The 23,975-nt window shown below is 41.6% G+C and overlaps 1 protein-coding gene across 2 annotated transcripts in view; it reads left to right on the top strand.

The window, feature by feature from the left end:
* The window catches only part of POTEG (POTE ankyrin domain family member G), a 31,856-nt gene extending 18,554 nt beyond the window's left edge, over nucleotides 1-13,302 (top strand). The window contains exons 8-12 of one of the 2 annotated variants that reach the window (NR_027480.2): nucleotides 1,182-1,226; nucleotides 2,268-2,434; nucleotides 6,407-6,455; nucleotides 11,053-11,171; nucleotides 12,679-13,302. Coding sequence is in view for 1 of the 2 variants with exons in the window: in NM_001005356.3 (NP_001005356.1) it covers nucleotides 1,182-1,226; nucleotides 2,268-2,434; nucleotides 11,053-11,170 (330 nt within the window). In the remaining variant the exon portion in view is untranslated. The remainder of the gene's footprint in view (nucleotides 1-1,181; nucleotides 1,227-2,267; nucleotides 2,435-6,406; nucleotides 6,456-11,052; nucleotides 11,172-12,678) is intronic. The other variant, NM_001005356.3, reaches the window with a different exon arrangement.
* Nucleotides 13,303-23,975: the final 10,673 nt, after the last annotated feature.

Here is a 23,975-nt window from a genome sequence, read left to right as displayed (position 1 = left end):
CTTATTAAAAGAAGAATCAATAGATTCTAATTTAATATTTGATATTTAACTTCAACATAACCCACTATGAAATTTAAAATACTCTTATTTTAAAATATTCTTATCTGCCTTCTTGATTAGCTTATAGCTAATCTTTCCTTTTGGAATAGAGGCAAAAACAAATTTCAGAACTTTGTTCTTTTATTTTTACAACACCCTAACATGATGAAGAATGTAACATCAATTATTGGATTATATTATTAAGCAATAGAATTATGAACAATGTAACACTGATGGTCCCTGAGCTGGATTCATGGTTAAAGAGTAATCATGGCCAGTGATTGAAAATCTGCAGTTTTATATTGTCAGTCACTGATACTAAGGTTGTGGTCTCTCATTGACCTCAGTGTTTCTGTTCAGGGAGGGAACCAGGTCAAAAAAGCAACCCAACTGCCTATTAAAGGAATCATATCTTGCAGAATGGGACCTTTGGTGTTAGTGCACAAACACAATAACATTCTAATTTATTTCAGTTGCAGAAAATCAGGACAGATTAAAATTTTTATCTACTGTCATTAGTACATATTAGAATATATTAGAACTGGACTTAAGCAGATAATCTAGATACATAACACTATCATATTACAGTATATAATTTCAATTAAAATTTAAGAATTTGCATCTCTTTCTGTTTGGTGTTGATTTCGGCTCCTAATAATTTAAAGTGTGCCTACAATCCAGTTAGGAATCTTTTAAAAAAGCACTTCAGTGCACTGTGGGGGCTCACTAGTTAGGGTTTCATGAGGTAAACTCTTTTCAAGTGAGGAAGGTTTTGCAACACTACAAATGATCTGCTGATTCATTTTTGGTAGATTTAACACATAACAAGTTAAGTTTAGTCCGAACAAATAGTGACCAAGTTAAGTTTGCTGGTTCATGTTTTTCTTCTCCCTTTGGCTAAGGTGAATTATTTTTCACATGTTAGAAGCCAGTGATGTGGCAGTAGCTAAACATAGATTAAAAAGTTAATCTTAATTTTAATTATTATTTATTTTTTTAAGTTTAATTTTAATTATTTTCTAATTTTTATTGTCCATACTTGATTACTTAAGAATAAAATTATTTTAAAAACATGTGCTCCAAAAGAGGAGACATCACAGAAATACAACAAGCAAATTAACCTTCTGTTTTTGCATCTGCAGGAAATGTCTCAAGAACCAGAAATAAATAAGGGTGGTGATAGAAAGGTATACTTTTATATTCAAATGTTTGTGTTGAATTAGATTTTTACATTATGTTGTTTAACAAAGTGTAGTAAGTGTAGGCATACGTGATCCTATCATGTAAGTAGCATAAATCATCAGTGAAAAATTTAATACTTAACTCAGAATTCTATACATTGAATTTTAAAGAGATGCAAACCCTAGAGATATTCTTTCATTATTATGGAATAGTCCCGAATGGTGCCATAAAATGCTAAGTAATGCCACTTTAGGAGCTTTGGATCAATAATTTTATCTTTCTTGGTTTTAGTCTGATTATCAATAGAAAATGTGGCTAAAGTAGATAATTTTTTATTCTGTGTATTTTCCAGCTAGAAAATTTTATGGCTATCGAATGTGAAATTTGGGGAGCAACTCATTTTCTGGAATTCCATGATTGTACCTCTGCAGTTTCACTCTGCTCCTTATGTTGTGGGAAACTTTGGTTCCCATGTTTCAGTGAGCACCTTCGTGTTTTTGATATCCTAGGAACCTAATGAAAAAAGAATGCTCAAAGGCAGTGGGGGAGAAGAATATCTTAGTGCAGAAAAGGGTCATCTTCCGTTCTATTCCTGAAGCCCCACGGTGTCTCATCCTCTAAAATGACTGTTTAATGTAAAATCTAGGTGGTAAAGAGGGATGAAGACACATTTTTCATCTTTGTCTTTTTATTTATGTGTTCCCACCAGTCAAATGGGGGTAAATACATATATAAGATTCTGAAGAGTGATTGAGAATAAAAGCACAAAATAAAGGAGGGCCCTTTTTGAATTTTGGAAAATTCTGTTTTACTCATTGAAACAGAAATGAAGCAAACTTTACAAAAATTTCTGTGATATATTAGTGATATGATAAGTACATCTTAAAATTATATGGTAATAGTTCTGTGTATATGATCCAATTTAAGAGTGAAATGTTTTTAATGACTAAAATAATGATAAACTGGTCAAGTGATAAAATCAATTAAAAATATTCTTTCTATTCAATAAAGGGATAACTATCCTTAATATCAAACTTTCATTCAAGGTTGAAGAAGAAATGAAGAAGCACGGAAGTACTCATATGGGATTCCCAGAAAACCTGCCTAACGGTGCCACTGCTGACAATGGTGATGATGGATTAATTCCACCAAGGAAAAGCAGAACACCTGAAAGCCAGCAATTTCCTGACACTGAGAATGAACAGTATCACAGGTAAGTCTGTGGCAACATTGAACAGGAGATAACTCTATGCTGTGAATCTAATTCATGATGAACAAATTTTATACTTTTACTAGGATATTCAGCCTTGCCTGTTAATCAGAAAAATGAAAATCAGTAAACAATGAGTTACCATTTTTTCCAGTCATTAATTTATTTGAAAAATAGCCAGTATTGGCAAATGTGAGGGAAAAGGCATTTTCTTTTCTTTTCAGTGACCTTTTATTTTAGCTTCAGGGTACATGTGCAGGTTTATTATATAGGTAAACTGTATCATGGAGGTTTGGGGTACAGATTATTTCATCAGCCACATAATAAGCAAAATACTCGAATGGTAGTTTTTTGGTCGTCTCCCTCCTGCCACTCTCCACCCTCAAGTAGGCCCCAGTGTCTGTTATTCTCCTCTTTGTGTCCATGAGTTCTCATGTTTAGTTCCCACTAATGAGTAAGAATATGTGGCATTTGATTTTCTGTTCCTGCATTAGTTTGCTTAGGATAATGGCCTCCAGCTCCATCTGTGTTGCTGCAAGGGAAATGGTTTCACTGAAAAAGACATTTCATACACTGTTGGTAAATACATTTTGAACATTAATTTAGTAGCATATTCACACACACACAGATATATAACAGAGTAAGGATGTATAATACATGTAAAGGATATTTGTGTAGATATGTTACATACATACTTACATATAAGGACATTTATTATAGCATTATTATACTAAAAATTTGGAGCTAGTCTACTCCCTTATCAATAGGAAATAGCTCAATGTCCATACCCCCAAAATAATGTATTATGCAACCGTTTTTGAAAAATGAGGTTAGATCTAGGGTATACTGATTATTTCACAATTAAAATGTATTTAAAGCATTTAGTTTAATGACACATCTTAGGAGTTCTTGTTAAAATTCTTGTAATATCTGCTGTGTTGGAAATGGAAGCTACATGCTACATTGACACTGTACCTTGTTAGCAACAAGATTGCTAATTATTAAATTTTTGTTGTCAGTGCCTGAGTGCTGAAATATTGGACCCTCAGTCTGAATATTGCCAAGGGATTGTACATGGGGATCTATATTTAATATAAACATTTCAGTGTATTGGGTAAAACTTTTATTAAAATACATCAAAGATCTTTGATCTACTAAACCAAGAGTTGGCCAGCTTTTTCTGCAAAGAACCAATTAGTAAATATTTTAGGCTTTGTGGACTACATATATTTATTTTCTTGAGACAGGGTCTGGCTCTGTTTCCCAGGCTGGAGTGCAGTTGTGTGATCATGGTTGTGTGATCACTGCAGCCTCGACTTTCTGGGCTCTAGTGATCCTCCCACCTCAGCCTCTCTACTAGCTGGGACCACAGGTGTGCAACATCACACCCAGCTAATTGTCACTATGGACTGTAAAGTGAATAAGCATGGCTGTGTTCCAGGATACTTGACTTACAAAAACAGTCAGTGGGCTGGATTTGGCCCACAGGTGCTTATTTGCTGACCTTTGTGCTAAAAGGAAGGTGCTGCTAATGCATTGACTCTTATATGTAAAAGTGTCCTGCATGGGTGACATTATCTTTCCTTTGAGAAAAGGATATATTTGAGTATTCACCTCACCATATTTTTCCACAGTGACTTCATATAATTTTAAAAACTTCATTTATAAAATAAGATTATTTTCTGCATTTCTCTCTCTTTATTCCTGTTAATAGAACTCAGTATTTTACTGTGATCAATTACTTTGTATATTTGATGAGTGTCAACTGTCCTAGAATTGGCTGATTTTTATCAAGCAAGAAATATTCTCGTTGAGACCTTTAGTATTTCTTGGTCTTTATGTATAAGCATGAACAAAATGATAATCAGCTTATGTAATCTAGAAATGTTCTAGGGGCCTTTAAAACCTTGGTCTGGCATTTAATGCCACATGTGTATAATTTTTATAACCTTTGAAATATATAATTGTTACATAGCATTTGAAACCTCCACCTGTTATGTAAAATTTGGAAACTATTTCTTGTCTATCACTTTTCCATGACTGTGGATGAAAATTACATCATTCTCAGTCGTGAGTGTTAAGTATGTTGTCCTTTAAGTAACTGTCTACACTCACGAACTCAAATTTTCTTTCCATTCACTCTTGATCTCAATGCCAGTAAGTCTTCAATTTCAGCACTCCTCCAGAGTTGTTTTTCTCAAGGTTATCACTACTTTTTTCTGTAAATAAATCTATGCATTTTTTTCTTACACCTCATTTTATTTAATCTGTCAGCAATATTTGAGCCAATGGAGGGCATCTTCTCCCTAACGGCGTCTTCACTTGGCTTTCAGGACCTCACTCCCTCAGGCTTTTACTCCTGCCTTTCTAGTCCATTCATCACGGTCTGTTTTGCTTGCTCCTCCTCATGTTTCTCCTTTTGGACATTGCTGTTTCTCATGGCTCAGTCCTCAATCTTCTTTCTCATGACATTTTTTTTTTTTAAGATGAAGTCTGGCTTTGTCCCCTAGGCTGGTGTTCATTGGCACGATCTTGGCTCATTGCAACCTCTGCCTCCTGGCTTCCAGCGCTTCTCCTGCCTCAGCCTCCTGAGTAGCTGGGATTACAGGTGTGTGACACCATACCTGGCTAATTTTTGTATTTTTAGTAGTGACAGGGTTTCCCCATGTTGGCCAGGCTGGTCTCAAACTCCTGATGTCAGGTGATCTGCCTGCCTTGGCCTCACGAAGTGTTGGATTACAGGCATGAGCCACAGTGCCTGGCCCTTCCTGACTTTTTCTACTGTATATATGCTAGTGATTTCCAAATGCATGTCTCCAACTCAGATCTCACTCCTTAATTCCAGATCTCTGTATCAGCCTGGCTACTTGACAGGCCTAGCCTATCAGACGTAGCTACCTAATAAATAGTTATTTGATTAGCTGTTGAGTATCACACACTTGTCAGATCCAAAATTGGGCTACTGATGGCCTTCCTGAAATCTACACCTCATGTAGTCTTTCCTACTTTGGTTAATGGCAACTCTTCCAGTTGCTCTGCCAAAAACCTCGGTGTCATTCTAGACTCATCTTTCTCTCTCTCTTGACACTTCACATCTAATCTCTCAGTAAATCTCGTCAGGTCTACCTGAAGAATATGTCCAGAAGCCAGTCATATCTTGTACATGTGAGCCACCATCATCTGCCATCTAGATGAGTGTCATAGACTGGGAATTGATAGTCCTGGTTTTTAAAAATTTCCCCTTTCATCAATTCTTAACTCAGTGGATGTATTTAAAACATAAGTCAAATTGTGTCATTCCCCTGCCCCAGCCCTTCTGATTGCCTCCCATTTCACGCTGAGTATGTGTCAGAGTTCCTCCTAATAACTAAAAGGCAGTCAACCATCTGGCATGTTATCTCTCCTGCTTAAACTTCTGTTTCTTATCTCTTTTGCTCTGTTTCAGCCACACTGAACTTCTTGCTATTCCTTACCTATCTCTAGTGCTTAAAAACTCCAGTCACACCTCTGCACTTAGCAGTTCCCCGTGTCTGGAATGCTTTTTCCCCAGATATTCTTCTAGCTTACTGTTTCCATTACTTCAGTTTTTTACTTAAAATCCCCTTTCTAAGAAGAAGAAAAAGGGTAAAAAGAAACACATTAAGGAATAACCACTTTCGGAGGAAGAACCATGTACCAGCACAATTCCTAGTCCAGAGAAAAATGAAGAAAAAGAAAAAGAGATAACGAGGACTAACAGAAAGGAATTACGATTGTATCACCAGGACGCATCAGGCTTAAGATTCAATTGGGAGCATACCAGGGATTCTCTCTAACGTAATTGAGGGAAGGTTCAATGAAACAGTGATTTATCATCTCTAACTTCAAACCTATTTGTGTCTTGACATCAACTCTGTTAACATCATCATTTTTTAGAGTCTTTGATGTACAAATAAAAGTTTCTTTGTGTTAAAGAAAAATCCTCTTTCTCATCAGGGACTTTTCTGGCCATCCCAACTTTCCCACGACCCTTCCCATCAAACAGGTAAACATTTCATTTTCCTGCTTTAGTTTTTCTCCTCTAATGTACTGTATATTTTGCCTTATCTGTCTGTTGTTATTGTGTGTTTATCTCACTCTCATGAATAGGGTTTTTATTGTTCATTACCATATCCTTACTTCTTAGAAAAAGGCCTAGCCTATCAGACGTAGCTACCTAATAAATAAGTATTAAATGAATGAATGGAGTTTATCCTGGCTATATTGTTTGATTGATTCTCACTTAAAAAGTGTTTGACAGAGTTCATTTTAACAATTTTGCCTGGTAATTATATGTATTTTTAAAATTCTTTTGGCTTTTTATAATCTACATTCTTTATGTTAATATTTTTTCACTTAGGGAGAAAAGTCCAATATTGTGGTTATTCACTATTCTTTTACTGGTAATCATGATAATTGCAATTATGGTAAAATGAGTCAGAGGAATTGCAAACTTTACTGGTATTTTATTTATTTAGAGATAGAGTCTCGCTCTGTCACCCAGGCTGCAGTGCAGTGGCGTGACCTCGGCTCACTGCAACCTCCGCCTCCTGGGTTCAAGTGATTCTCCTGCCTCAGCCACCTGAGGAGATGGGATTACAGGCGCGTGCCATGATGCCCGGCTAATTTTCGTATTTTTAGTAGAGACGGGGTTTCACCCTGTTGGTCAGGCTGGTCTCGAACTCCTGACCTCAGGCAATCCACCCGCCTTATCCTCACAAAGTGCTGGGTGGATTACAGGCGTAAGCCACCATGTCCGGCCACTAGTATTTTATTTAAAAAAATATTAGGGTGGTAAATGTAATGGACTCACAAATTGTTTCCAAGGGATTATAGACCTTTGGTATTTGAAATAAAAAGACAGTTGGAATCTTTTGCTTCGGATAGTAAGACTATACTGGTCAGGCACTGTCTATTCTGATGAAGCAGCTGTTGCTGCTTGGCTGTCTTTCAGAAGCAAGCTGCTCACATTGATATTGGTTGGTGAGCAAAGCCAGTGGTCATTGATCGATTGACTAGATTTTGAACTGGCTCTGGGTGGCTTCTTGTTACCATGGCTACAGGTCAATTCTTTCCTAAGTTTGAGTCAACTTTAAACAGAAATTTTCTGTTCAAAAGTTGCCTTCCATTAACTATGTTCAAAATGAAACTTTTTAATATTTCAGAATTGTGGATTTAAAGTTTTGGTTATGATGACTTGGTTAATAATAGCTCTCACGGAGATTTTTTTTTGATACATCGTCTTAACCAGAAGAGTTCTCTGTATAATTTATTTCTTAAAAATAATTGTTTTGTGTTTGTTTTGGGTATTTTTAGAAGCTTTTGCTCAAGTCCTAACATAATCTCCAGTAGGAGATTTTAGTCTGTCAGTTCATGTATGTATATGATAGTCATATTGTCATATTGTCTTTTTAAATTCCTTTTTATGTTCACTTTTTTCTCTGTACAATAATAGTGATGTTGTTATACATTTTTATCTCATTAAAAAGTAGTTACAATATTCTGCTGGCAAATCTAGCTTTTTATATATTTTGACTGAATAGGTTAAAAGTGAAAAAAATTTATCAGATCATTCTATTTTCAAACAAAATCATCACTAATAAAAATTATTATTTTGAATTATAAATAATGACATTTAGATATTTTAAAAATAAGGATACCCCCCCACAATAGTTTGGCTTTGTGTTTCTATGCAAATCTCATGTCAAATTGTAATTCCCAGGTGTTGAGGAAAGACCAGCTGGGAGGTGATTGGCTCATGGGGTCGGTTTCCTCCGTGCTGTTCTTGTGATAGTGAGTGAGTTCTCACAAGAGCTGACGGTTTCATAAGGGGCTCTTTCCCCTTCCATTCTCTCTCTCCTGCCGCCTTATGAAGAAGGTTCCTGGTTCCCCTTCACGTTCTACCATGGTTGTTAAGTTTCCTGAGGCCTCCCCAGCCATGCATAACTGTGAATCAATTAATCCTCTTTCCTTTATGAATTATCCAGTCTCAGGTATGTATGTGTATGAATTACCCAGTCTCGGGTATGTACATACGTATATGTGTGAGTGTATATACACACATACGTATATGTGATATATATATGTGATGTGAGATATATATATTTTTATATATCTCCATTTTCTTTATTCCATTCATCAGTTCATGGACACTGGCTGATTCCATATCTTTGCATATTGTGAATTGTGCTGCAGTAAACATATGTGTGCGGGTGTCTTTGTGAGAGTACGATTTCTTTTATTTTGTGTAGCTATCCAGAAATGAGAATGCTGGATAAAATGGTAGGATCTATTTTTAGTTCTTTGAGAACTCTCCATACTGTTGTCCATAGATTTGTATGAATTTGCATTCCCACCAGCAGTGTATCACTGTTCTCCTTTCACCACATCCACACCAACATCTGTTGTTTTTTGTTTTCTAATAGTGGCCATTCTGGCTGCAGCGAGGTGATATCTCACTGTCATTTTATTGTGCATTTTCCTGATGATTCGAGATATTTCGCATGTTTTTATATGCTTGTTTACCGTTTGTACATCTTCTTTTGAGAAATGGCTATTCATGTAATTTGGCCACATTCTAATGGAAATATTTGTGTTTTTCCTGTTGATTTGTTTGAGTTTCTTGTAGGTTATAGATACTAGTCCTTTGTTAGATTCATAATTTTCAAATTTTCTTCCCATTGTATAGGTTGTTGGTTTACTCTGATGATTATTTCTTTTGTTGTGCTGAAGGTTTTTAGTTTAATTAGGTCTTATTTATTTTCATTTTTGTTGCATTGGCTTTAAGGTCTTCATCATAAATTCTTTGCCTAGGCCAATGTTTTCAGGTCTTAGGTTTGGGCCTTTCATCCATCTTGAATTAATTTTTGTATATGTTGAGAGATAGAGATCCAGTTTCATTCCTCCACATGTGGCTCTCTTTTTTTCCCAGCACTATTTACTGAATAACCTGTACTTTCTCCAGTGTATGTTTTTGTATGCTTGCTCAGAGATCACTTGGTTGTAGCGGCTTTATTTCTGAGTTGTCTGTTCTGTTCCGTTGATCTATGTATCTGTTTTTATACCAGTACCACGCTGTTTCTGTTACTGTGGCCTTAGAGTATAATTTGAAGTCAGGTAACGTGATGCCAACATATTTGTTCCTTTTGCTTGGTATGTCTGTTGCTATTCAGGCTCTTTTGTGGTCCTACATGAATGTCAGCATTTTAAAATAATTCTGTGAAGAATGACATTGGTACTTTGGTAGGAATTGTATCGACTATGTAGACTGCTTTGGGCACTGTGGTCATTTTCACTATATCAGTTCTTTCAGTCCATGAACATAGGATGTATTTTCATTTGTTTGTGTCATCTGTTATTTTCTTTGGTGGTGTTTTCCAGTTATCTTTATATAGATCACTCACCTTTTTCATTGAGCATATTCCTAGGTATTTCACACTTTTTTGCAGCCACTGTAAAAGGGATTGGATTGTTGATATGAACTCTCAGCTTGGTCGTAGTTGGTGTGTAGTGGTGCTACTGATTGGTATTCATTCATTTTGTAACCTCTGAGACTTTACTGAATTCATTTATCAAATCTAGGAGTGTTTTGTAGGAGTCTTCAGGGTTTTCTAGGTATAAGGTAATATCATTGGTGAAGAGATAGTTTGACTTCCTCTTTTCCAATTTGGATGCCCTTTATTTCTCTTGCCCAACTGCTTTGCCTAGGACTTCCCAGTTTTATTCTTAATATGCATGAAATAAAAGTAAAATGGAAAATGCTTAATGATGAGTTTATTTCACATCTCTCTCTCATACACAGATAAAATTAATTCAAAGTCCTATGTTAAAAACATAATATTAGACCCTGTCTTGTTCTAAAAGGAATTTCTAAGTTGTTTATAAAATACATAGGAATCAAGAATATAAGTGGAAAATGTTTCCAAAAAATAAACACAAAAAGTATGAGTTATAGGCCATAGACCAGTACCAGTCCCTGGCCTGTTAGGACCTGGGCCACACAGCAGGAAGTTAGAGGCAGGTGAGCAAGCAAAGCTTCATCTGTTTGCAGCCACTCTCTGTCGCTCGCATTACCACCCGAGCTGCTCCTCCTGTCAGATCAGCGGTGGCATTAGATCGTCCTAAGAGTGTGACCTGAACCCTGTTGTAAGTTGCTCATGCAGGGGATATAGGTTGTTCACTCCTTATGTGAATCAAATGCCTTTATGATCTGTCACCATCTCCCATCACCCCCAGATGGGACCATCTAGTCGCAGGAAAGCAAGCTCAGGGCTCCCACGGATTCTACATTTTGGTGAGTTATATAATTATTTCATTATATATTAATAATAATAGAAATAAAGTGCACAATGAATGTAATGTACTTGAATCATCCTGGAACCATCCCAAACCTCAGGTTCCTGGAAAAATTATCTTCCGCAAAACCAGTCCCTGGTGCCAGCATGGTTGGGGATACTTGGTTAACAGATGTGAGACCCCTTTGCCTTGTCTTGGAATAATGTGCAGATATACATTGTGTGAATGACATCTGATGGCGCCATCTTGCCCTGTAGATCATTTTGGGGACACCTCCAGTATTTCATGAAAATTAATTTTTTTTCTAGTGATGAACAAAATGATACTCAGAAGCAACTTTCTGAAGAACAGAACACTGGAATATTACAAGATGAGATTCTGATTCATGAAGAAAAGCAGATAGAAGTGGCTGAAAATGAATTCTGAGGTATTTAGTTATTTTCAAATGTTTTTATATGTGTATATATTTTTTAAAAACTATGTATTTTGGATATACAAAGGATTTTTAAGTCATATATATGTGTGTATATATTCTATATATCCTTTGTCATGTATCTATATCTGTACATATAGGAGAAAGCCATGTTCTTAATTCAACTCCATTTGCCTGCAACAGTCGAGTAGTGACCTTCACAATGGCCTCAATCCAAAGGAGAAGCATTTGATATTTTTCATAAGAATTGATGATCTTTCCATATCAAAACTAAGTTTTGCTACTAAAAACAAATTTTCTAGTTTTTGGACATTAGTTTTGTTAAAAAATGTTAATAGAGAAGTCAATTGATGGTTTTCACTGATAGGAAAGTAGGAAATGTATAGTTGGGTCAGAGGCCACATTGTGGATGTCATCATCCTTACTTTTGTGGAGAGGAACACTTTGCTCCAAGTAATTTCTCATTTCAATGTAAAGAGGTTTGAAAACAATGACATGCCATGATATACATTTAGTGATAATTTATTGATAAGTATTTTGTTCCTAGAGAAATAGTTGAGTATATTTCCCCTATTTCACAGTTACTACTGTTTCAAACATTATAAAGAGGAAATAAAAGTTATCACAATGACAAATAATCTCATGATTTCTAAGAAAATCTCTATAAGTTGCATCTTACTTACCATTCATATTTTGAAACAAAAGGCTTCTTTTGTATTTATATATTTACACCACAGAAGTAACTGTGGTTTTGTGGAGGATCACTAGAAGTAGCATCAGCAGACCTGGGGAAAATCCTGCATCTTGTATATATTTTTTGACTTCTCCTTTTAAGAATCACGATCTTAAATGAGTTCAGTGTTGTATGTAGGAGTGCAATGCTTAGATACAGATGTGTACAGTGTAGAAGGGTACAGTGCTTAGATTTAAGTTATGAATAAATATAATTCTTATAACTGAGTATAAAAATATTAGAAATGTAGAATATCGGTAAAACGTTCTTCAGTAAAAGAAACTTAAAGAACTTTGAGAAATTGCTTCTGTCCAAATATATGCATAGCTAAGGCTCTTAGGATGGTGTGGTTGATAGGTTAGATATCAGAGTATAAACCTAATCTTAAAAATATAGTCAAATGTATTAATCTTATATTTTATGCCTCTGGGTTTTTTGTAACTCAGAGAAAGGCTTTTTTAATTCTGAGATTCTTAAAAATCCTCTAGTGATTTATTTTTCATAGTCTTTAAATAAATATTTAAACTTTTAGGAATTCAGGAGCAGATTCCTAAAAGTTTAAATCTTTATTTAAAGACTATGAAAAATAAATCACTAGAGGAATTTACACTCTGCTAGGTTTGGAGTTTTGTCCAGTTTTTTCCAGTTAAATATCCACTATGGGGATTCTTTCATTATACAAATACAGATGTTATTTTTTAATTTCAGAAGAAATCATGGTATATCAATCTATTGAGTGCTAACTAAAAGTTCCCTTTGTTTACTTAGCTTTCTCTTAGTTATAAGAAAGAAAAAGACCTCTTGCATGAAAATAGTACGTTGCAGGAAGAAATTGTCATGCTAAGACTGGAACTAGACGTAATGAAACATCAGAGCCAGCTAAGAGAAAAGAAATATTTGGAGGAAATTGAAAGTGTGGAAAAAAAGAATGATAATCTTTTAAAGGGTCTACAACTGAATGAGCTCACCATGGATGATGATACTGCCGTGCTCGTCATTGACAACGGCTCTGGCATGTGCAAGGCCGGCTTTGCAGGTGACGATGCCCCCCGGGCTGTCTTCCCTTCCATCGTGGGGTGCCCCAGGCACCAGAACATGATGGGGGGCATGCGTCAGATGGAGTCCTATGTGGGCAATGAGGCCCAGAGCAAGAGAGGCATCCTGACCCTGAAGTACCCCATGGAGCACGGCATCATCACCAACTGGGACGACATGGAGAAGATCTGGCACCACACCTTCTACAATGAGCTGCGTGTGGCTCCCGAGGAGCACCCCATCCTGCTGACCGAGGCACCCCTGAACCCCAAGGCCAACCGTGAGAAGATGACCCGGATCATGTTTGAGACCTTCAACACCCCAGCCATGTACGTGGCCATCCAAGCCGTGCTGTCCTTGTACACCTCTGGCCGTACTACTGGCATTGTGATGGACTCTGGTGACGGGGTCACCCACACTGTGCCCATCTATGAGGGGAATGCCCTCCCCCATGCCACCCTGCGCCTAGACCTGGCTGGCCGGGAACTGACTGACTACCTCATGAAGATCCTCACCGAGCGTGGCTATAGGTTCACCACCATGGCCGAGCGGGAAATCGTGCGTGACATCACAGAGAAGCTGTGCTATGTTGCCCTGGACTTCGAGCAGGAGATGGCCACAGCGGCCTCCAGCTCCTCCCTAGAGAACAGCTATGAGCTGCCCAACGGCCAGGTCATCACCATTAGCAACGAGCGGTTCCGCTGCCCCGAGGTGCTCTTCCAGCCTTGCTTCCTGGGCATGGAATCCTGTGGCATCCACGAAACTACCTTCAACTCTATCATGAAGTCTGATGTGGACATCCACAAAGACCTGTACACCAACACAGTGCTATCTGGTGGCACCACCATGTACCCTGGCATTGCCCACAGGATGCAGAAGGAGATCGCTGCCCTGGCGCCTAGCACGATGAAGATCAAGATTGTTGCTCCTCCCAAGCGCAAGTACTCCGTGTGGGTCGGTGGCTCCATCCTGGCCTCGCTGTCCACCTTCCAGCAGATGTGGATCAGCAAGCAGGAGTATGATGAGTCAGGCCCCTCCATTGTCCACCGCAAATGCTTCTAGGTGGACGCTGACTTAGTTGCATTACACCCTTTCTTGACAAAACCAAACTTCGCAGAAAGCCACATGAGATTGGTATGGCTTTAATTGTTTTCTTATTTCATTTTTTGTTTTGTTTTTTATTGGCTTGACTCAGGATTTAAAAACTGGAATGGTGAAGGCGAGAGCAGTTGGTTGGAGTGAGCTTCCCCCAAAGTTCTACAATGTGGCTGAGGACTTTGATCGTACATTGTTTTTCTTTTCAATAGTCATTCCAAATATTGTGAGATGCATTGTTTCAGGAAGCCCCTTGCCCTTCTAAAAGCCACCCCACTTCTCTCTAAGGAGAATGGCCCAGTCCTCTCCCTAATTCACACAGGGGAGGTGATGGCATTGCTTTCATGCAAATTACGTAATGCAAAATTTTTTGAATCTTTGCCTAAATACTTTTTAATTTTGTTTTATTTAGAATGATCAGCCTTCGCGGCCCCCCTTTTTTGTACCCCAACTTGGGGTGTATGAAGGCTTTTGGTCTCCCTGAGAGTGGCTGGAGGCAGCCAGGGCTTACCTGTACTCTGACTTAAGGAGAGTTGGAAAAAAGTGCACACCTTAAAAAAAATTCAATGAGGAAGCATTAACAAAAACAGTATTTCTGTACAGTGGACAGCTTAGCATGTTGACAACTGAGAATAAAATGCTCAGTTCTGAACTGGACAATGTAAGACACAACGACGAAACACTGGAAATGGAAATTCAATTACATCATTGTAGACTGGCTACTGCTCTACATGATTGTGACCAAAGTCAGAGAGCTGAAAGAGACTTCTTTCCAGAGAACAAGACATGAACAGGTTTATTTACAGAAGACAATGAATTCTCATTTGTCTAACCTAAAAGATTACAGAATCTTTCTCAACAAGTCTAATGTAGACAGTAAAATCAACAGGCTAAAAATTAAGTTCCATGAAACAAGATAAAACTCTGAGAGAAAAGATGGGGCAGGCCGCCATCTTTCCCGTTCGGGCAACTTAGTCATTCCAGCCTGAGGGCTTTGGAGAGTACAAACTGACCAGGGAAAGAAGAGATCCCAGAGCACAGCATAGCTGCTTTACCAAATCATGGCCAGACTGCTTCTGTAAGCAGGCCCCTGATCCTGTTCCACCTCACTGGACAGGACCTCCCAACTGGGGCCTCCAGCTACCCCCACCAGCATCCCTTGGCCAATGGAAATTTGAAATGTTCCTGGGACAGAGCTCCTGGAGAGAGGGGCAGGCCACCACCTTTGCTGTTTGGGTGACTAGCCGTTCTGGCCTGCAGGCTTTGGAGAGCCCAAGCTGACAAGGGGTAGAAGAGGTGCCTCAGCACAGCACAGCCACGCTACGAAAACATGGCCAGACTCTTGTTTAAGTCAGTCCCCGAACACATTTCTAGTCAGTGGGTGAAGTCTTTCAACCAGGGTCTCTGGCTACCTTGACTGCTGTTCTCTGGCCGACAGAGGTCTCAGGCCTCCCTGAGTCAGAGCTCCCGGGGGGAGGACCAGATTGTCATCTTTGCTGTTTGGGTGACCCAGCCATTTCAGCCTTAGGGCTTCAGAGTGTCTGAGGTAGCCAGGGGCTGAAGTGAACCCCCAGCACAGCACAGCTGCTCTATAAAAACGTGGCCAGACTTTTTCTTTAAGCAAGTCCCTGTTCTTATTCCTCCTGACTAGGTAAGACTTCTTAACTTGCCTCCAGCCACATCTTATTGGTGTGTTCAGATTGGCAACGGGTTCGTACCTCAGTGGTACAGAGCTCCCAGAGGAAGGGGTAGGCTATCATCTTCCCTGGAAAATACGAGTCAATTAGGGACTTGAGGGGACCCCCAGCATTCCACAGCAGCCCTTCAGAAAAGTGGCCAGACTCTGTACTTGATGGGCAGATCCTCCTGGCCTGTGTCTCTAGCCAGCCCACCACTGGAGCTATCAAGCCAGTAGCAACTCAGCAGTTCCTTGGACAGAGCTTCCAGGAGCAAATGAAATCCTTTCTGCCACTGCCTTTGCAGTGAACTGCCCTTGCTATCCTCAGAAGATATATCACGGGAGCAAAGACCCTAAGTGCCATATCAACACCTCCAATAAGCTGCAGTTGACCCGAAGAACAAGGCAATCCATCTCCCACAGGTACCACACACACTCCACTACTCATCACCAGACAGGGAACCCTGGCTTGGGCCCACAGCACAGACCCTCCATCCTGGGCCGATTACACTGAGTGATTGCTAACTCACATGTCTCTGGGATGGAGCACCCAGGAGACAAGCAAAGTGGTGGAGCAGCAAGTCAGGTGATGTGGAGCCCAGAGGGCAGGGACAGCTATCTCTCTAGGCTCCACTTGCCCTTGTGAGACACTTTGTCCCAGCACTTTAGGAATGCTGAGGTCAGACCAGCCACATCTCATGTGCAAGATTGCCCAGCAGACATCAGGTCTGAGAGTTCCCCTTTTAAAAAAGGGGACTTGCTTAAAAAAGAAGTCTAGCCACGATTGTGTAGAGCAGCTGTGCTGTGCTGGAGATTCACTTTTGAGAGAGTTCTCCTCTGAGACCTGATCTTTAGAGGCTGGGCAGTCTTGCACATGAGATGGGGCTGGTCTGATCTCAGCACTCCTTAGTCTGCTTGCCTCTCCCAGGGCCCCAGCCTGGCCACACCTGCTTACAGGGCACTCTCAGGTGCCCATACCATAGTTTCTGTGCTAGTGGACCGTACCATATCAGTGGAGAGCTGCAGCAAGGTGGCCCCTACGGCCACGCACCAGCCTGCACATTACTTCTCCATACTGCAGCCCTTTATATGGAAACTTCCTACATCACTTTGCTGTGTGTGTTTACACAGGTGGATTTTGCTTTACTTGCACTGACAGCACACAGGAGTGCAGCACACACCCCAACCCACATCAACTGCCATTAAAGAAAAGAAATTTCAGCCCATAATTTCATGTCCAGCAAAATTAGGCATCATAAGTGAAGGAGAAATAAGATCCTTTTCAGACAAGCAAATGCTGAGGGAATTCAATATCACCAGATCTACCTTACAAGAGCTCCTGAAGGAAGCACTAAATATGGAAAGAAAAAACCATCACCAGCCACTACAAAAATGCAGTGAAGAACGCAGTGAATTACGCAGTCCAGTGATGCTAAAAACCAACCACATACGTTAAGTCTGCAAAATAACCAGCTGACAGCATGACGACAGGATAAAATCCACACATACCATTACTAACCTTAAATGAAAATGGGCTAAATGCTCCCATTGAAAGACACGGGGCAAGCTGGATAAAGAACCAAGACCCACTGGAGTATGCTGTCTTCAAGAAACCCATCTCACATGCGGTGGCATACATAGGCTCAAAATAAAGGAATGGAGAAAAATATTTCAAGCAAATGGAAAACAGAAAAAAGCAGGTGTTGCACTCCTACTTTCTGACAAAACAGACTATGCGAATAAAGATAAAAAAGAGAAGGACATTACAAAGGTGGTCCTGACCTTTGATAAATCTCATTGCTTGATACCAACCTGGGCTGTTTTAATTGCCCAAACCAAAAGGATAATTTGCTGAGGTTGTGGAGCTTCTCCCCTGCAGAGAGTCCCTGATCTCCCAAAATTTGGTTGAGATGTAAGGTTGATTTTGCTGTACAACTCCTTTTCTGAAGTTTTACTCATTTCCAAAAAGGAAGGCAAGTTTTCCTGCTTCCATGACGATGGAGAGCAGGCATCTCCTTTCCTGAGTTTCAGCTTGCTTCTGACAGGGAAGGTGAGTGTAAGTTTTTTCCAGCTTCTAAGATGGCAGAGAACGATCACCAGCCTGAGCCTTATTTCCAGGTAAGTAGCTGAATTAGAGTTTTGTCTTAAAATTTTTCCTTAATGATTAAAATGTAAGATTACCCACCAGCTGCTTTTAATTTCTCCTTAGCATTAGAACACTCAGTAATCATATGAATTGTGCATTTGTTTGTTTTGCTTAACTCTTTCTGTTTGTTTATGTTTGGGGTTTTATTGTTGTTGTTTCACTTTTCTCCCATCTCTTCCTGACTTGGTCAAATCCAAAGGAATGTTCCAAATTGTGGGGAGCAAGGCATCTGAAATGGCTAAAACTCCTGTGGCTGCAAAAAATAAAAATAAAAAAAAAATATAAAAAAATAAACACACACAAAAAATGAAAAACAAAAACAAAAAACACAAAAAAGCCAAAAGAAAAAACCCCAAAAAAAACAAAAAAAGGCAAAACAACAACAACAACAACAACAACAACAACAAAAAACCCAAAAAACAAACAAACAAAAAAAAAACACAGAAAATCCAGTTGGAAATTTTTTAAAACTTTTTTTTTATATAAGTGGTCTCATCTACATAACAAGGCCATCTTTTGCTAGCAAAGGCCAAACTGAAGGAGTAATGGTGGGGACCGAATGTTAAGATTCTGCCCTGTTCACTACAGAAACCTGAGTTTGGTTCCTAAGTCTAGTTCTTTCTGTTTGATATTTGTGTTGCTTTTAAAATATCAGCAGTTTGTCCCAGCTATGATGTGGTAGTAAGAGACTCAAAACGATTTTCTTTACAAGTTCTATGATAAAAGCTTAATTAAAAGAAAATTTGTTTTTTTAAAATTATACTTTAAGTTCTGGGGTACATGTGCAGAACATACAGGTTTGTTACGTAGGTATAATATACACATGCCATGGTGGCTTGCTGCATCCATCAACCCATGATCTGCATTAGGTATTTCTCCTAATGCCATCCCTCTCCTAGCCCCCCACGCTGACAGGCCCTGGTGTGTGATATTCCCCTTCCTGTGTCTATGTGTTCTCATTTTTCAACTCCCACTTATGAGTGAGAACATGTGTTTCTGTTCTTGTGTTAGTTTGCTGAGAATGATGGTTTCCAGCTTCATCCATGTCCCTGCAAAGGACATGAACTCATCCTTTTTTATAGCTTCATAGTATTCCGTAGTATATATATACCACATTATCCAGTCTGTCACTGATGGGCATTTGGGTTGGTTCCAAGTCTTTGCTGTTGTGAACTGTGCCGCAGTAAACATACGTGTGCATGTGTCTTTATATTAGAATGATTTATTATTTTTTCAGTATATACCCAGTAATGGGATTGCTGGGTCAAATGTATTTCTAGTTGTAGATCCTTGAGGAATCAGCACACTGTCTTCCACAATGGTTGAAATAATTTATACTCCCAGCAAGAGTGTAAAAGCATTCTTATTTCTCCACGTCCTCTCCAGCATGTGTTGTTTCCTGATCTTTTAATGATGGCCATTCTAAGTGGTGTGAGATTGTATCTCATTGTGGTTTTGATTTCCATTTCTCTAATGACCAGTGATGATGTGCTTTGCTTCACGTGTTCTTTGGCTGCATAAATGTCTTCTTTGGGAAGTGTCTGTTCATATCATTTGCCCGCTTTTTCATGGGGTTGTTTATTTTCTTGTAAATTTGTTTAAGTGCTTTGTAGATTCTGCATATTAGCCCTTTGTCAGATGGATAGATTGCAAAAATTTTCTCCCATTCTGTGTGTTGCCTGTTCACTCTGATGATAGTTTGTTTTGCTCTGCAGACACTCTTTAGCTTAATTAGATCCCATTTGTCAATTTTGGCTTTTGTTGCCATTGCTTTTGGTGTTCTAGTGATGAGGTCTCTGCCCATGCCTGTGTCCTGAATGGTATTGCCTAACACAAGGACATTTCTGTGCCTGAATGCCATACCACCCAAAGTCATTTATAGATTCAGTGCTATCCCCATCAAGATACCACTGACTTTTTTCAAAAAATTAGAAAAACTACCTTAAATTTCATATGGAATCAAAAAAGAGTCCGCATAGCCAAGACAATCCTAAGCAAAAAGAACAAAGCTGGAGGCATCACAGTACCTGACTTCAAACTACTCTACAAGGCCACAGTAACGTAAACAGCATGGTACTGGTACAAAACCAAGTATATAGACCAATGGAACAGAACAGAGGCCTCAGAAATGACACCACACTTGTAAAACCACAAGATCTTTGACAAAACTGACAAAAGTAAGCACTGGGGAAAGGATTCCCCATTTTATAAATAAATGGTGTTAGAAAAACTGGCTAGCCATATGCAGAAAACCGAAACTGGGCCACTTCCTTACACTTTATATACAAAAATTAACTTAAGAAGGATAAAAGAGTTAAATGTAAGACCTAAAAGCAAAAAACCTAGAAGAAAACATAGGCCACCAACCTCAGGGGAAATATACTTGTAGTGAAATGCATGGTACAAACCCGCATTCCCTGCTTCCTTGAGTGGGTGAGGTTGGTGGCTGGTCCATCTGCTCCAAGCGTACCCTTACAGAGGTGGCTGGTTGCTCTTTGAGGCAGCTTGGCCTTGCCTGGCATGCACAAGCTTCAGTGCAACAACTGTGCTATAAATGGAGCCACATAGGGGAAATGAGCAGCAGGCTTAGGACCAGGGTGTACACTGCCTTTGGGGCTCCAGTCCGTGCCTCAGGGATGGTATGGCACTGCGAGCTTCTTGGTTGCCAAGAGGCAGATCACAGGCCGTTTTGAGAAGGACTTCATGTTCAACTGCAGAAAGCAGCCAGGATTACCATCTAGGGTACTTGTCCTTCTGTGGCCCTGGCCAGACTTAGAATTTGGGCCAATGCAGGACAAGCTCACTCGGAGCTGTGTGGCAGTCGCTCGGGCGTGTGCATGCCAGGCAAGGGCAAGCTGGCTCAAAAAGCAACAAGCCACCTATTCGAGGGTGGACCTGCAGCAGGTAGACCAACCACAAACCTCACTTAACCAAGGAAATACATGGCCTGGTTCCCACAGCCCGAGTGGCTGCCACGTGATGGCTGATAGAGCAGAGGACTTCAGAAAAGCAGATGGCCCTTTGGTCCTACCTTTAGGGTAGAAGAACTGATGTGCCATTTGCGGGAGCGAGTGAGGTTGGTGGCTGGAGAACCGGTGCCTGGCACACCGTGGCAGAGTTGACTGGTTGCTCTTTGAGCCAGCTTGGCCTTGCTCGGCCTGCACAAGCCTCAGTGCAACAACTGTGCTATGAATGGAGCCACAGAGAGGAAACAAGCAGCAAGATCAGGAGCAGGGTGTACGCTGCCTTTCAGGCTCCAGTCCATGACTCAGGGGTCATATGGCACTGCAGGCTTCTTGGTTGCCAAGAGGCAGACCACAGGCCGTCTTGAGGAGGACTTTACATTCAAGTGCAGAAAGCAGCCAAGATTACCGTCCGGGGGACTCGGCCTTCTGTGGCCCTGGCCAGACTGAGAATTTGTGCCAAGGCAGGACAAGCTCACTCGGAGCAGCGTGCCAGTCGCTGGGGCCTATGCATGCTAGGCAAGGCCAAGCTGGCTCAAAGAGCAACCAGCCACCTGTTCAAGGGTGCGCCTAGAGCAGGCAGAGCATCCACCACCTCACCCACTGAAGGAAGTGGGGATGGCCAGCTTCCCACAGCTTGATTGGCTGCCACCTAATTGCTGATGGAGCAGAGGCCTTAGGAAAAGCAGATGGCACTGTGGCCCTACCTTTAGGGTAGAAGAAGTGAAGCACATGTCTGGCTGCTAGTTGGTGACTGGTGCACCTGCTCAAGGCACACCCTTGCAGAGGCGGCTGGTTGCTCTTTGAGGCAGCTTGGCCTTGGCCGGCATGCCCAAGCTTCAGTGCAACAACTGTGCTACAAATGGCGCCATATAAAAACGAGCAGCAGGCTCAGGAGCAGGGTGTGCACTGCCTTTGGGGCTCCAGTCCATGCCTCAGGCGTCATATGGCACTGTGGGCTTCTTGGTTGCCAAGAGGCAGACCACAGGCTGTCTAGAGGAGGACTTTATGTTCAAGTGTAGAAAGCAGCCAGGATTGCCACCCAGGGCACTCGGCCTTCTGTGGCCCTGGCCAGACTTAGAATTTGTTCCAAGGCAGGACAAACTCACTTGGACCAGCGTGTTAGTACCTGGGGCCTGTGCATGGCAGGCAAGGCCAAGCTGGCTCAAAGAGCCACCAGCCACCTGTGCAAGGGTGTGCCTGGACCAGTTGGACCAGCCACCAAGCTCACCCACTCAAGGAAGCAGGGATGGCGAGATTACAACAGCCTGAGTGGCTGCCACCTGATGGCTGATGGAGCAGAGGCCTGAGGTAAATCAGATGGCACGTTTAACTCTTTAATGGATCTTAAGTTAATATTTCTATAAAGCACATGGCACCAGTCCATGCCTCAGAGTTCGTACGGCACTGGGGACCACAGCAGGCCGAGTACCCTGGGTGGCAATCCTGCCTGCTTTCTGCACTTGAACATAAAGTCCTGCTCAAGACGGCCTGTGGTCTGCCTCTTGGCCCTACATTTAGGGTAGAGGAAAGGATGTACCATGTCTGGCAGGGAGTGAGGTTGGTGGCTGGTCCGCCTGCTCCTGGCCCAGCCTTGCAGAGGTGGCTGGTTGCTCTTTGAGCCAGCCTGGCTTTGCCTGGCGTGCACACAGCTCAGTGCAACTACTCTGCTACAAATGTAGCCACAGAGAAGAAATGAGCAGCAGGCTCAGGAGCAGGTTGTGCATTGCCTTTGGGGCTCTAGTCCATGCCTCAGGGGTCGTGTAGCACTGCGGGCTTCTTGGTTGCCTAGAGGCAGACCACAGGTCATCTTGAGGAGGACTTTATGTTCAGGTGCAGAACGCAGCCAGGATTACCATCCAGGGGGGCCTTCTGTAGCCCTGGCCAGACCTTGCAGAGGTGGCTGGTTGCTCTTTGAGCGAGCTCGGCCTCCCTGGCATGCACAGGCCCCAGGTACTAACACGCTGCTCTGAGTGAGCTTGTCCTGCCTTGGCTGCCACCTAACTGCTGATGGAGCAGTGGCCTTAGGAAAAGCAGATGGTGCTGTAGCCCACCTTTAGGGTAGAAGAAGTGATGTACCATGTCCGGCCGCTAGATGGTGACTGGTGCACCTGCTCCAGGCATACCCTTGCAGAGGTGGGTGGTTGCTCTTTGAGCCAGCTTGGCCTTGCCCGGCATGCACAAGCTTCAGTGCAACAACTGTCCTACAAATGGAGCCACAGAGAGGAAACAAGCAGCAAGCTCAGGAGCAGGGTGTGCACTGCCTTTGGGGCTCCAGTCCATGCCTCGGGTCGTATGGTACTGCAGGCTTCTTGGTTGCCAAGAGGCGGACCACAGGCCTTCTTGAGGAGGACTTTACGTTCAAGTGCAGAAAGCAGCCAAAATTACCATCCATGGGACTGAGCCTTCTGTGGCCCTGGCGAGACTTAAAATCTGTGCCAAGGCAGGACAAGCTCACTCGGAGCAGCGTGTCAGTAGCTGGGGCCTATGCATGCCAGGCAAGGCCAAGCTGGCCCAAAGAGCAACCAGCCACCTCTGCAAGGGTGCGCCTAGTGCAGGCGGAGCATCCACCACCTCACCCGCTCGAGGAAGTGGGGATGGCCAGGTTCCCACAGCCTGAGTGTCTGCCACCTTATTGCTGATGGAGCAGAGGCCTTAAGAAAAGCAGATGGCACTGTGGCCCTACCTTTAGGGTAGGACGCTAATTGGTGACTGGTACACCGGCTCCTGCTACACCTTTGCAGAGGTGGCTGCTTGCTCTTTGAGCCAGCTTGTCCTTGCCCGGCATGCACAAGTTTCAGTGCAACAACTTTGCCACAAATGGAGCCATATAGAGGAAACAAGAAGCAGGTTCAGGAGAAGCGTGTACCCTGCCTTTGGGGCTCCAGTCCATGCCTCAGGTGTCACATGGCACTGCGGGCTTCTTGGTTGCCAAGAGGCAGACCACAGGCCATCTTGGGGAGGACTTTATATTCAAGTGCAGAAAGCAGCCAGGATTACCATCCAGGGGGACCTTCTATAGCCCTGGCCAGACCTTGCAGAGGTGTCTGGTTGCTCTTTGAGCCAGCTTGGCCTCCCTGGCATGCACAGGCCCCAGGTGCTAACACACTGCTCCGAGTGTGCTTGTCCTGCCTTGGCTGCCACCTAA

This window comes from Homo sapiens, chromosome 14 (genome assembly GCF_000001405.40).
Source record: "Homo sapiens chromosome 14, GRCh38.p14 Primary Assembly".
NCBI classification, from domain to species: Eukaryota; Metazoa; Chordata; class Mammalia; order Primates; family Hominidae; genus Homo; species Homo sapiens.
This window is presented reverse-complemented; position numbering and strand designations above follow the sequence as displayed.